General features: G+C 40.4%; 1 protein-coding gene across 12 annotated transcripts in view; it reads left to right on the top strand.

Annotated features, from left to right (window-relative positions):
- CDKL2 (cyclin dependent kinase like 2) overlaps window positions 1-14,015 on the top strand; it is a 54,033-nt gene that overhangs the window by 14,841 nt on the left and 25,177 nt on the right. For all 12 annotated transcript variants that reach the window (XM_017008811.2, XM_017008810.2, NM_003948.5 and 9 more), the window contains 4 exons: window positions 1,239-1,433; window positions 8,327-8,505; window positions 10,054-10,166; window positions 11,732-11,871. In XM_017008811.2, the coding sequence (XP_016864300.1) occupies window positions 1,239-1,433; window positions 8,327-8,505; window positions 10,054-10,166; window positions 11,732-11,871 (627 nt within the window). The remainder of the gene's footprint in view (window positions 1-1,238; window positions 1,434-8,326; window positions 8,506-10,053; window positions 10,167-11,731; window positions 11,872-14,015) is intronic.

Here is a 14,015-nt window from a genome sequence, read left to right as displayed (position 1 = left end):
TACATCTTCTATATCATTTGTGCATTGTTGCATTTAAAATGTTCACTTTCTGTTTCATAACCATGATGCCCACATTTGTATAAGATTTAGTCCTGCCTTAAATGGATTCAATGCTCATGTTGTTTTTACTTGAATGCTCATTCATGCTTTTACTTGAATGACAGTTTGGTTGGGTATAAAGTTCCTGGATCATACTTGGATTTTCTTGAGGATTTTGAGAGCTGTATTCTGCATTCCATTGGTTTCTTTCCCTTTAAAGGTGGCAACATTTTTTTCTGGTGAGTGTTAATCTACCATTTATGTTTCTTTCTCCTTTCTTCCCCATTTCTTACATCTTTGAATAGATCCTTGATTGGTTCCTTTTTGATTGTTTCTTATAATAAAGTCTGAGTCTTTGGAGGACTATTTGTAGGAGGTTCTGGGGAGAGGCCATGACTTTGTTCCAGGCTAGCAGGAATTTACCATAATTCACAATGGTGTTCCTTATCACATATGCCTCAGTGTGGGATTTAATTCTATTAGGTTTAATTTCTCTAAAACTTGCAGTTGCAGGCTTGTTCATAATGAATTGTTTTGCCTTCTACACTGCCTCACTGAGAGATTGTTTCCAGCAAATGTGTTTCTGTGTGATTCCTTATCCAGCCCTTCCCCAATGCTGTTTCTTGGTGCCATTCAGTTCTAGGGATGTTTTCACTGCTGTCTATGAGCCTTATTTCATATATATATAGTGTATATATATATATGAATATACATATATATATATACTATATATATGTATACATAGTTTTCCATTATATTAAAGGAGGACTTTTTTGTCTTTTCAGGGTATGTCACTGGCTTCAGAGAACTCTTACGCTTCCAGCTTTGTAGCCACAGATGATCTTTTGGTGCCTTCCTATACTCCTGTTTGACCGTGATTAGATTTAGTAGTCCCATCTCATTTGTTGTGAGTAGGGGGTCATAGATCCCTCTTAGTTTTAGCAAAGATGGAGTTACACTTATTTTTCTTATTAGCTTTATTTTGTTCTCTGAGAGGAGAAAGGAGCAATATAGTCTCTCAATTGTAGTTTAAAAACCAGAATATGCTTTTACAATTTACACTATGTATGCATTTTATTTATATATTTTTCTTACGCTGAGATCTATTTTAAATAATTAATTGCTAATAATTTGATCTTAGTTTATATAAACTATTTTGCATTTTTAAATAACAGCTATTTTGCATTTTTTAATAACAGCAACTTAGGCATGAAAACTTGGTGAATCTCTTGGAAGTGTGTAAGAAAAAAAAACGATGGTACCTAGTCTTTGAATTTGTTGACCACACAATTCTTGATGACTTGGAGCTCTTTCCAAATGGACTAGACTACCAAGTAGTTCAAAAGTATTTGTTTCAGATTATTAATGGAATTGGATTTTGTCACAGTCACAATGTAAGTATTGGGTTTAAATAATTTGCTTTATCACATATTTATTCATTAATCCTTTAATCTGTCTTATTGATTTATGCATTTGAAAATAAGTTGCAGACATCAGTATACTTTAACACTAAATACTTCATCTGTGCATCTATTAATTGGAGTTAAATATTTGTTTTCTGAGTTTTTTGTTTGTTTGTTTTGTTTTTTTCCGAGACAGAGTCTCGCTCTTTCGCCCAGGCTGGAGTGCAGTGGCAAGATCTCAGCTCACTGCAACCTCTGCCCCCCAGGTTCAAGTGATTCTCTTGCCTCAGCCTCCTGAGTAGCTGGGATTACAGGCATGCACCACTACGCCTGGCTAATTTTTGTATTCTTAGTAGAGATGGGGTTTCACCATGTTGGCCAGGCTGGTCTCAAAACTCCTGACCTCAGGTGATCTGCCTGCCTTGGCCTCCCAAAGTGCTGGGATTACAGCCATGAGCCACCGTGCCTGGCTCTATTTTCTGTTCTTTTTTAAGGTAATATTTACTAAGCGAAATGCACAAATTTTAAGTGATGAATTTTGAGAAATGTATAGACCCAAGGGTCTGTGTATTTGTTAGTTTGTGTTCTCTTGCCTAATTACAAAGTGTGAATGTTTGAAAATTTCTACCCTTACCCTGTAGTCTATCACAATAATTTTATATACTTTGAGTATCATATAAAAGCACTTACAAGAAGAATGATACCTATAAAGTATAAATGAATAGCTCAACACATAGATTTTGCCAGTTTTACAAAATATTTTAAATGACATTCTTTGTGTGATTATAAGAGTAATAAATATTAATGGTAGAAAAATTTAAAACTAAAGATAATTATAAAAGAAAGAAAAAATCATTTTACATACCTGCCACCTAAATTGATATATTTCTTTTCGGTTATTATTATTATTCACTGTCTCTAATTTTTTAACTGTCTTTTATTGTGTAGTTTTGTTATGTTACTGAGTTATAGTGTGAAGTTTACATACATAAAAAAATTGCTCAGTAGAGGCAGATACCTAGTTTCCACTGGGAAAAACACTGCCCTTTTTTAGGAGGCCTTCCATAGTGGCCTCCTGGCAACTTTTTAATGATCCAGGCTCAGAAAATCTATTTTTTTTTGAAACGGAGTCTCCCTCTATCGCCCAGGCTGGAGTGCAGTGGCGCGATCTCGGCTCACGGCAAGCTCCGCCTCCCAGGCTCACGCCATTCTCCGGCCTCAGCCTCCGGAGTAGCTGGGACTACAGGCGCCCGCCACCACGCCCGGAGAATTTTTTTATATTTTTAGTAGAGACGGGGTTTCACCTTGTTAGCCAGGATGATCTCGATCTTCTGACCTCGTGATCCGCCTGCCTTGGCCTCCCAAAGTACTGGGATTACAGGCGTGAGCCACCGCTCCCGGCCCAGAAAATCTATTTTGAGAAACCTAATTTTGAGACTATCTGTCTCTTAGGGCAGACTCATATTGACCAAACTCAGGAGACTGAATGCCAGTTTAGTAAATTGCAAAGAGAGATAATTGTTACGGGGTGAAATATATAAAGTAGAATAACAATAATGTTGGATTTGCAGGAAATCAGATCAGCATGAGGTGTTAGTGAATCAAATACTTAATGTATCAGTTTAAAAGATACTGATTCATCCTTCTTCATAAAAATGATGATATCTTCCCAATGGGCCTGTAATATTTGGAGTTAGGTGGCTGAATGCCCTACATTCATCTCTGTACTAAGGATAGGCTTGCCAGTGGAACCAGTAAGCAAAAAGAACCATTGTCTCTCTCACATTAGAAGCGCATTTGAATGTGTCCTGCCTACATTGCTTCTGTGTCCCTTTATTTTTATACTTTCATGATGAATCAACCCATGTTTAATATAACACATTCTACCTTTAGATGTACAGATACATCCAGGCAGTTTAGAGTCAAGTACTGCTGGCATGAGTGCCATTCTGTGTTTAAGGAAAGAGATTTTAGGCCTGGTGTGGTGGCTCATGCATGTAATCCTAGCACTTTGTGGGGCCGACGTGGTCTGATCACTTGAGGTCAGGAGTTCGAAGCCAGCCTGGCCAACGTGGTGAAACCCCATCTCTACTAAAAATATAAAAAAATTAGCCGGGCATGGTGGCAGGCACCTGTAATCCCAGCTGCTTGGGAGGCTGAGGCAAGAGAATTGCTTGGACCCAGGAGGCGGAGGTTGCAGTGAGCTGAGATCGTGCCACTGCCCTCCAGCCTGGGCAACATGGCGAGACTCTGTCTCAAAAACAAAAAAAAAGATTTTAAAATCTAGTGTTTCTCCAGGCACAGTGGCTCACGCCTGTAATTCCAGCAATTTGGGAGGCCGAGGCGGGTGGATCACCTGAGGTCGGGAGTTTGAGACCAGCCTGGCCAACATGGTGAAACCCCGTCTCTACTAAAAATACAAAATTAGCTGGGCGTGGTGGCACATGCCTGTAATCCCAGCTACTCGGAAGGCTGAGGCAGGAGAATTGCTTGAACCTGGGAGGCAGAGGTTGCGGTAAGCTGAGATTGTGCCATTGCACTCCAGCCTGGGCAACAAGAACGAAACTCCATCTCAAAAAAAAAAAAAAAAAAGGTGGTTCCCTGCTAAGCTTCAGAACATTTACATATCTCTTTAAACTATAGAAAATGTGAATTTTTATGGGTGGAGAACTGATCTCACTCTAACTTATGAACACTTGTCTCAAGGGAGCATTAGTGTTATTAGTGTTGCCTGGCATACTACTTTTTTTCCAGTCCATTTACTCTTTTTTTTTTTTTTTTTTTTTTGAGACAGAATCTCACTCTGTCACCCATGCTAGAGTGCAGTGGCACGATCTTGGCTCACTGCAACCTCTGCCTCCTGGGTTCAAGCGGTTCTCCTGCCTCAGCCTCTCAAGTAGCTGGGATTACCGGTGTGCACCACCATGCCTGGCTAATTTTTGTATTTTTAGTAGAGATGGGGTTTCGCCATGTTGGCCAGGCTGGTCTTGAACTTTTGGCCTCAAGTGATCGGCCCACCTCGGCCTCCCAAAGTGCTGGGATTACAGGCGTGTGCCACTGTGCCCAGCCTCCATTTACTCTTAAACTCTTCTAGATTGTGATTTCTTACCCTCTTTCTTCTCAAACCCTAGTACCTTTTCTCCAATCCTTACTCCCAGCCCCTAGTTAAATGGAGATAATAATAGCACCTATCCTTAGGGTTATTATGAGAATAAAATAAGTTAAAACATGAAAAACATTTAGAATAGTGCCTGACACATAAGTATTCAAGTGTCAGCTATTATTACCATTATTATTAAAGGTATATTTTAAGGTTTTGTTTTCTGGGCAGTTAACATTTCTCTTTTTAATGTAGACAGATAATAACGGTAGTGGCTGGAATAAAACACACAGATATATACATACATACATACATATATATAAACACATATATGTACACATAAGGATGAGATGCTTGACTTTAAGAAAATGAGAACATTTATTCTCAAATATATTATTCATTTTTAAATGTATCTATATATGTGAGCACTTGAATTTTTTAAAATATAAATATGATTTTAATCCTTTATGAGCCAGACTGAATAACATATTTAAAAACAAATTTAAGATTGCTGCCCATTGAAGTTTGACCCAAATAGTACAGAACATTATGAGGTTTGTAGAACCCTAAACGACTTTTTTTACTGAAATTACTAGGTATCATAATTTATTTAGGTTATATCTAGTATTAAAGACCCATGTCAGAGCCTACCCTTTTCATAGTACTTTCTCTGGCCACCCCAGTCTGCAATGATGGATTTTAGGAAAAATTCAACTCATATCATCTTGGTTATACTTAGAATCTATTGTGTTACTTAAGTTATAAGGTATTAGAGTTGGGAAGAAACATGGTGATCATGCACTTTAGCCCTCTCATTTGTGGGCCGAGAGGATAGACTTAGAAAGATTGAGTTGTCTATGGCTGTACTGAAAACCAGGGACTAGACCCAGGTCTCCCGACTCCCAGTTTAGCTCTTTCTTTTTTTCTTTTTCTTTTTTTTTTTGAGATGGAGGCTCGCTCTGTCGCCCAGGATGGAGTGCAGTGGCTCGATTTCGGCTCACTGCAAGCTCCGCCTCCCAGGTTCACGCCATTCTCCCTGCCTCAGCCTCCCGAGTAGCTGGGACTACAGGCGCCTGCCACCACGCCTGGCTAATTTTTTGTATTTTTGGTAGAGACGGGGTTTCACTATATTAGCCAGGATGTCTCGATCTCCTGACCTCGTGATCCACCCGCCTCGGTCTCCCAAAGTGCTGGGATTACAGGTGTGAGCCACCGCACCCGGCCCCAGTTTAGCTCTTTCTACTACAGCACAGGTGGTCTGAGACTGGACCTGTGTCCTCATCACTGATATCTAGGGTAATAAAGTTGGTAGCCTATACAACGTGCTCAGCAATGGCAGATTGCCGTTTAGGATGCTGGTCTTCCGAAAGAGTTAAAACAAATCTATCTTTTTTAGTTTTCAAAATACAATTTGCTTATATTAGAGAATTAGGCCTAATAATGTCTTTTGCCTAGCTGTAGATTTTTAAATATATATATATTATATATATAATATATCATATATGATATATATCTATATAATATTTTTTATATATATATTTTTTGAGATGGAGTCTCTGTCGCCCAGGCTGGAGTGCAATGGCGCAATCTCGGCTCACTGCAACCTTCCCCCTCCTAGGTTCAAGAGATTCTCCTGCCTGAGCCTCCCAAGTAGCTGGGATTACAGGTGCCTGCCATAGTGCCTGGCTAATTTTTGTATTTTGACTAGGGACGGGGTTTCACCATGTTGGCCAGGCTGGTCTCAAACTCCTGACCTCATGATCCACCCACCTCAACCTCCCAAAGTGCTGGGATTACAGGCGTGAGCCACCGCACCTGGCCAGATTTTTAAATATTATCTGAATATCAGCATCCTGTTTTATTCTTACAAAGTCTCTCCTTTAGAAATTTTAATCACTAATGTTTTTGTTTACTCTTTACATTTCTAATTGCCTGATGAATGTCTATACTTGGGTGCTCAGCATTCCACCCAAAAGTCCAATGATTAAAACTAAACTAATTATTCCATTAAAACTAACTTTCTCTAGGCTTTTCTAATTTTGAAAATGAAACCACCATTCTTTTAAATTCTCAGGTTCAAACAAAATATCTACAAAATATCTACGACTCTTCTAAATTCTATTTCTTTCTTTTCTTTTTTTTTTTTTTTCTTGAGATGGAGTCTCGCTCTGTTGCCCAGGCTGGAATACAGTGGTGCGATCTTGGCTCACTGCAACCTCCACCTCCTGGGTACAAGCAATTCTCCTGCCTCAACCACTCAAGTAGCTGGGATTACAAGCGCGTGCCAGCACGCCCAGCTACTTTTTTGTATTTTAGTAAAGACAAGGTTTCACCAAGTTGGCCAGGCTGGTCTTGAACTCCTGACCTCAAGTGATCTGCCTGCCTCGGCCTCCCAAAGTGCTGGGATTACAGGCTTGAGCCACTGCGTGCGGCCTATTGATTTTTGATTTATTGTATTTCTAAACTGCATTTCCTCCTTCCCATTCCTCTGAGCACCAACCTAGGTTAGGCCTTTATCACCTCATACTGGTCCCACTGCTCTTCTTCCTGCCTCTCGTCTTTCTCTCTGATTTAGCTCATTTATGGCCAACATCAATTTTAAACACCACATTGTCTATCACTTCCATGGGTTCCCAGGGTCTTGCCACACTTCCTAGTATGTCAGCTGAGATATTCCGCCTCCACTTCACACAACCTATACTCTAGAAAAAACAGTTTTCTGGCCAGGCGTGGTGGCTCACGCCTGTAATCCCAGCACTTTGGGAGGCCGAGGCAGGTGGATCACCTGAGGTCAGGAGTTTGAGACCATCCTGGCCAACATGGTGAAACCCCGTCTCTACTAAAAGTACAAAAATTAGTTGGGCATGGTGGCAGGCGCCTGTAATCTCAGCTACTCGGGAGGCTGAGACAGTAGAATCGCTTGAACCCAGGAGGCGGAGGTTGAAGTGAGCCGAAATCGCGCCATTGCACTCCAGCCTGGGCGACAAGAGCAAGACGATGCCTAAAAAAAAAAAAAAAAAAAAGGTTTTTGGCCCGGGCGCGGTGGCTCACGCCTGTAATCTCAGCACTTCGGGAGGCCGAGGCGGGCAGATCACGAGGAGGTCAGGAGATCGAGACCATCCTGGCTAACACGGTGAAACGCCGTCTGTACTAAAAATACAAAAAATTAGCCGGGCGTGGTGGCAGGCGCCAGTAGTCCCACCTACTCGGGAGGCTGAGGCAGGAGAATGGCGTGAACCCGGGAGGTGGAGCTTGCAGTGAGCCGAGATCGCGCCACTGCACTCCATCCTGGGTGACAGAGCGAGACTCCGTCTCAAAAAAAAATTTTTTTTTCCCCACAATCTCTTATCTATCCCCATTTCCATTCTTGCTCTCCTTGTTACATTCACTTGGGCTGCCCTTCTTTCTCTTTATTTATCTAGGTCATACTTAGTATTAAAGACCTATGTTAGAGCCCACCCCTTTCATAAAAATTTCCCCTGACTGCCTCAGCTTCAATGATAGCTTTACTCTCTTAGTCTTGAGAGCAGTACATTAACTGAACAGTTGATTTAGTAATTTGAAAAAATATATTTTATCCAATGTTTTTGATTGTTTAAATAAAATTTCAAGTATAGATGTTCTTTCTTGCCCAACTAGGTCCTAGGTTGTTGAGGGCTAGGAGCAACTTTCTATGCTTTTGTTTGTATTCTTTATAGGGACAACATACAATGCCCTGCACATAGCAGGTGCCCCAAAATAATTAATTTTATTTAACATCCGTCACACTCTGCTTCTTGTCTAGATCATACACAGAGATATAAAGCCAGAGAATATATTAGTCTCCCAGTCTGGCGTTGTCAAGCTATGCGATTTTGGATTTGCGCGAACATTGGCAGCTCCTGGGGAGGTTTATACTGATTATGTGGCAACCCGATGGTACAGAGCTCCAGAACTATTGGTTGGTGATGTCAAGTATGGCAAGTAAGACATCAGTAATGGGGAGGAGTAGATTTTTACTCTTGCTTCTTGCTATAGTGGAATATGTTTATGATATAGTAAATGATCCCTCTAATACTGAAAGGAAGGCTTGAGTTTCAGGGACTATATAAAGTAAATTGTAATCATTTTTGGTGCTTCCCCTTTAAACATTCCTGTGAAACAAGTATACTTATTTTAGAGGTGGGGAAATTAAGTGGTCTATTTTATACAGTGGGTTGGAAATAGATATATTTATCACTTGTAAAGAGAGGTGAACATTGATTGGTTAAATGTGACATTGTTGGAATGGGGAAGATGGAGTAAGCAAGGGTGGAGGCAGAAATATAATTAAGTAAAATGTTTTTAAAACATAAATTTTCTTCACAAGGGAATTCTTCAAAGAAGAAAGGGTTGTAACTTTTACTGCTTTTGATTGAAATCTTTCTAAAATATTTTCTACAAGTTCTGTTGTCAGAGCACACTAAACATTATTTATTATTTTCTTGATTACTGAGTTCTTATTTTGCTACCATGTTATAATTTTTGTGCCATTTTATAATTCAGCAATAACCTTAAGCATTTTAAGGTAGTTGTTCCTATGCCAAATGATGCTTGCATATTCTTTGAGTTCTTGTAACTGATTTTTAAGATAGTTTCAAAATTTTTATCCCTAGGCTGGGTGCAGCGGCTCATGCCTGTAATCCCAGCACTTTGGGAGGCCCAGGCGGGAGGATCATGAGGTCAGGAGTTCAAGACCAGCCTGACCAACATGGTGAAACCCCATCTCTACTAAAAATACAAAAATTAGCCAGGCATGGTGGCATGCACCTGTAATCCCAGCTACTTGGGAGGCTGGGGCAGGAGAATCACTTGAACCTGGGAGGCAGAGGTTGCAGTGAGCTGAGATTACGCGACTGCACTCCAGCCTGGGCGACAGAGTGAGATTCTGTCTCAAGAAAAAAAAAAAAATTATCCCTATCATCCCTCAGTTCTCTTCATTGTTACTGTATTTATCCTTAGCAGCCACCTCCTCTTTCTGGTATGCTGTTTTCAGTGTATGATGGCATAGCATAGATTGGTCAAGCTTGCTAGAGTTATGCGTAAACAAAGAATGAATAGGCTCTAAATGGAGCCTGAGAGTTTTATTTCCAGAATAAAGTATACATAATAACTGTTTTGGCTTTTCAGAAGGCATTTCCCTTTTATGTCACATGATTGAAGTTTCTGGAAAGCTCACTTATGTAAAATTGGGAGTTAGAATTTTAATAGGGAAAAATCATTTCATGGGTAATTTAAGGCTTACTATAGGTTGAGTATTCCTTATCCTAAATGCTTGGGACCAGAAGTGTTGCAGATTTCAGATGGGTTTTTTTTTTTTTTTGGATTTTGGGATATTTGCATTATACCATTGGAGCATGCCAAATCTGAGAATCTGAAATCTGAAATGCTCTGGTTGGCATTTCCTTTGAGCATCACCTCAGTGCTCAAAAAGCTTTGGGTTTTGGAGCATATTAGGATGCCAGATTTTACACCACATTGCTTTTCTTTCAGGGCTGTTGATGTGTGGGCCATTGGTTGTCTGGTAACTGAAATGTTCATGGGGGAACCCCTATTTCCTGGAGATTCTGATATTGATCAGCTATATCATATTATGATGTGTTTAGGTAAGGTTACACATCTGCATTTTAAATTTTAGAGATTTTTCTGCATATTTGTTTGTGCCTGTGTGTTTGTGATTTTTTAAGCTGTTGCATTAAAGATTATATATGTTTTAAGTGAAGGTAGGGAGCATATAGGAAAACTCTGTGTGTGTGTGTGTGTGTGTGTGTTTTGAGATGGAGTTTCGCTCTCCTTGCCCAGGCTAGAGTGCAATGGCGCAATCTCGGCTCACTGCAACCTCTGCCTCCTGGGTTCAAGCGATTCTCCTGCCTCAGCCTCCCGAGTAGCTGGGATTACAGGCATGTGCCACCATGCCCAGCTAATTTCGTATTTTTAGTAGAGATGGCGTTTCTCCATGTTGGTCAGTCTGGACTCGAACTCCTGACTTCAGGTGATCTGCCCACCTTGGCCTCCCAAAGTGCTAGGATTACAGGCGTGAGCCACCGCGCCCAGCCACGTGTGTGTTTTAATTTATTTTTTCCTTCAGTCTGGCATTGGTCTATCTGATGCATGTTCTTTTTTATTTTTTGAGACGGAGTCTCGTTCTGTCACCAGGCTGGGGTGCAGTGGCAATCTTGGCTCACTGCAAACTCCGACTCCCAGGTTCAAGCGATTCTCCTGCCTCGGCCTCCCAAAATGCTGGGATTGCAGGCGTGAGCCACTGTGGCCCGCCCTGGTGCATGTTCTTAATCACGCTCACATCCCCTTTCCCCTCAAGAGAGAGGAAAAGAGCAGAGGTTGTGCATTTCTCTGTACTTTTACATACCGTTAATTACATGTAGAGAGGATGCAATGATCATTTATTATTCTTGAGTCAGTAAGCATTTGGTGTAATGTGACTACTGTCCTTACTTTCACATTCAAGAGGAGAGACACAGAGATTTCCAAGGTTGATTTAATCTTGGCACAGATTTGGACTTCTGCTATTAGTGCTTTTGACAGAATTTCAAAGCTGGACTATCAAAATCTTACGTTTGTTGAAATATCAACTTCATGTTTGAAGATGGAGCTTAGAAATGGAAATAATGGGAAAATACTTGGGGGTAATTTAACTATTTGATTTGAAGTTTTCAGATTAGAAATTAAATAAGCAGTACAATAGTTTCTTACAGTGGAATTTTCAGATATATTCTACATTCAACTAGATATTAAAGTTGAGAAAAAAGATTAAAGTGCTCAAATCTGACTTTAAGATAAGCACAAAATCAGTTGACCAAATATTAAATTCTTAAAGGGGAGAACTGATTTATCTAGATTAGATCCTGTCCATATGACTATTAATATATTTGTTGTTTTATTCAGCACTTTATGCTTTCTAGTTAGAAACGAAGTGCTGGTACTTATATCTGGAAAGTTATAAAATATTTTTTACCTGTCCTTTTCCTATGCTCCTTAAGACTGCCATATACCACCACAGTAACGGCATTGTCTTTGGTCAATTTTGCATGTTGAGAGAGCCCCAAACTCCATAAGCTGTGTTCCACTATTTCCTCTACTTCACACCACCTGTCTCTTCACCATTTCTATCATGTTGTATAATAACAGAGATATGTGCTGTTTTCACTTCCAGGTAATCTAATTCCAAGGCATCAGGAGCTTTTTAATAAAAATCCTGTGTTTGCTGGAGTAAGGTTGCCTGAAATCAAGGAAAGAGAACCTCTTGAAAGACGCTATCCTAAGCTCTCTGAAGTGGTGATAGATTTAGCAAAGGTAATCATACTTATTGTTTACACTTTATGACAGGGAATTTATGCACTATCAAGACCTTTTTTTTTTTTTTTTACTTGTCTAGTTGATCTTTTTTTTTTTTTTTTGATGGAGTCTTGCTCTGTCACACAGGCTGGAGTGCTGTGGCATGATCTCGGCTCACTGCAAGCTTCACCATTCTTCCGCCTCAACCTCTCTAGTAGCTGGGACTACAGGCGCTCGCCACCATGCCTGGCTAATTTTTTGTATTTTTAGTAGAAACGGGGTTTCACTGTGTTAGCCAGGATGGTCTCAATCTCCTGACCTCGTGATCCGCCCGCCTCGGCCTCCCAAAGTGCTGGGATTATAGGTGTGAGCCACCAGCCCTGGCCTCTAGTTGATCTTTTAGGTCAACAATTTCCTCTAATAATTTTAATTTTTGTACATTTAGAAACAATTTAAATAATTTGATGGGGGTAACTTCAGAGAAAAAGGACTGAAAATTTTACCTGTTTTAACACTCATTAAGAAACCATTTATTGGCCGGGCGCGGTGGCTCACGCCTGTAATCCCAGCACTTTGGGAGGCCGAGGCGGGTGGATCATGAGGTCAGGAGATCGAGACCATCCTGGCTAACAAGGTGAAACCCCGTCTCTACTAAAAAATACAAAAAATTAGCCGGGCGCGGTGGCGGGCGCCTGTAGTCCCAGCTACTGGGGAGGCTGAGGCAGGAGAATGGCGTGAACCCGGGAAGCGGAGCTTGCAGTGAGCCGAGATTGTGCCACTGCAGTCCGCAGTCCGGCCTGGGCGACAGAGCGAGACTCCGTCTCAAAAAAAAAAAAAAAAAAAAAAAGAAACCATTTATTGTTATCTAGCATTTTGTAAATGTGAAAACATCCTCACTGAAAAACACATTAAAAACATAAAAACACTGTATGATTTTTACGTTTAACATTTAAAATACACGCCTTGTTTAAATGGAAAAGAAAATAAAAGTAGGATAAGAAAATAAAAAGGGTCTGGGCATGGTGGCTCACACCTGTAATCCCAGCACTTTGGGAGGCTAAGGCCGGTGGATCACTTGAAGTCAGGAGTTGGAGACCAGCCTGGCCAACATGGCAAAACCCCATCTCTATTAGAAATACAAAAAAATTAGCTGGGCATGGTGGTGCATGTCTGTAATCCCAGCTACTCGGGATGCTGAGACAGGAGAATCACTTGAACCCAGGAGACAGAGGTTACAGTGAGCTGAGATCGCACCACTGCACTCCATCCTGGGTGACAGAGTGAAACTCTCTCTTTAAATAAATAAATAAATAAAGGATAGAGAAGTAGGAAAATATTAAAATGTAGGGCATAGGATGGCCGGGCATGGTGGCTCATGCCTGTAATCCCAGCAGTTTGGGCGGCCGAGGCACGTGGATCATGAGGTCAGGAGTTCAAGACCATCCTGGCCAAGATGGTGAAACCCCATCTCTACTAAAAATACAAAAATTAGCTGGGCGTGGTGGCACGTGCCTGTAACCCCCGCTACTCGGGAAGGTGAGGCAGAGAATTGCTTGAACCTGGGAGGTGGAGGTTTCAGTGAGCTGAGATTACGCCACTGCACTCCAGCCTGGGCAACAGAGCGAGACTCCATGTCAAAAAAAACAAACAAACAACAACAACAAAAAAAAAACAAAATGTAGGGCATAGGATCATGATCTGTATGATATTGTCAAAGGGGTTTTTGCTTAGCCACTGTATTGGCTGCAGCCAGTTTACAAATGGCCAATACTTTTTTGTTGTATTTGATTAAGGAAGATGTTAGGTTTTCATTCTATCAAGTGAGAATCAACTCTAAAATTTGACCTTTTTGGGGAATTTTTAGCTCAAAAAGTTCTCATCAGTTAAGATTGTTTAAATATTGATAAGATAGGTACCTCTAAAACACTAGGCTATAAGATTTACCCAATTTTTTTGTTTTTTAATTCTTTAACTCATGACGTTTAATAAGCTTATAACTAATTAAACAAGTTCTTAGAATAATACATTTCCAGTTTTTTACATAATCTTCTAACAGATGCAAATATTTTTAATTGGTACAAGCTTTGTGATCTATCTGTAAGGAGATATAAAGGGAATAAAGGTAAAACTATTGTCCAACTTGTGTACCTTAATCATACCTT

Source organism: Homo sapiens, chromosome 4 (assembly GCF_000001405.40).
Source record: "Homo sapiens chromosome 4, GRCh38.p14 Primary Assembly".
NCBI classification, from domain to species: domain Eukaryota; kingdom Metazoa; phylum Chordata; class Mammalia; order Primates; family Hominidae; genus Homo; species Homo sapiens.
The sequence above is the reverse complement of the archived record's forward strand: the minus strand, read 5'-3'. Positions and strand labels throughout refer to the sequence as shown.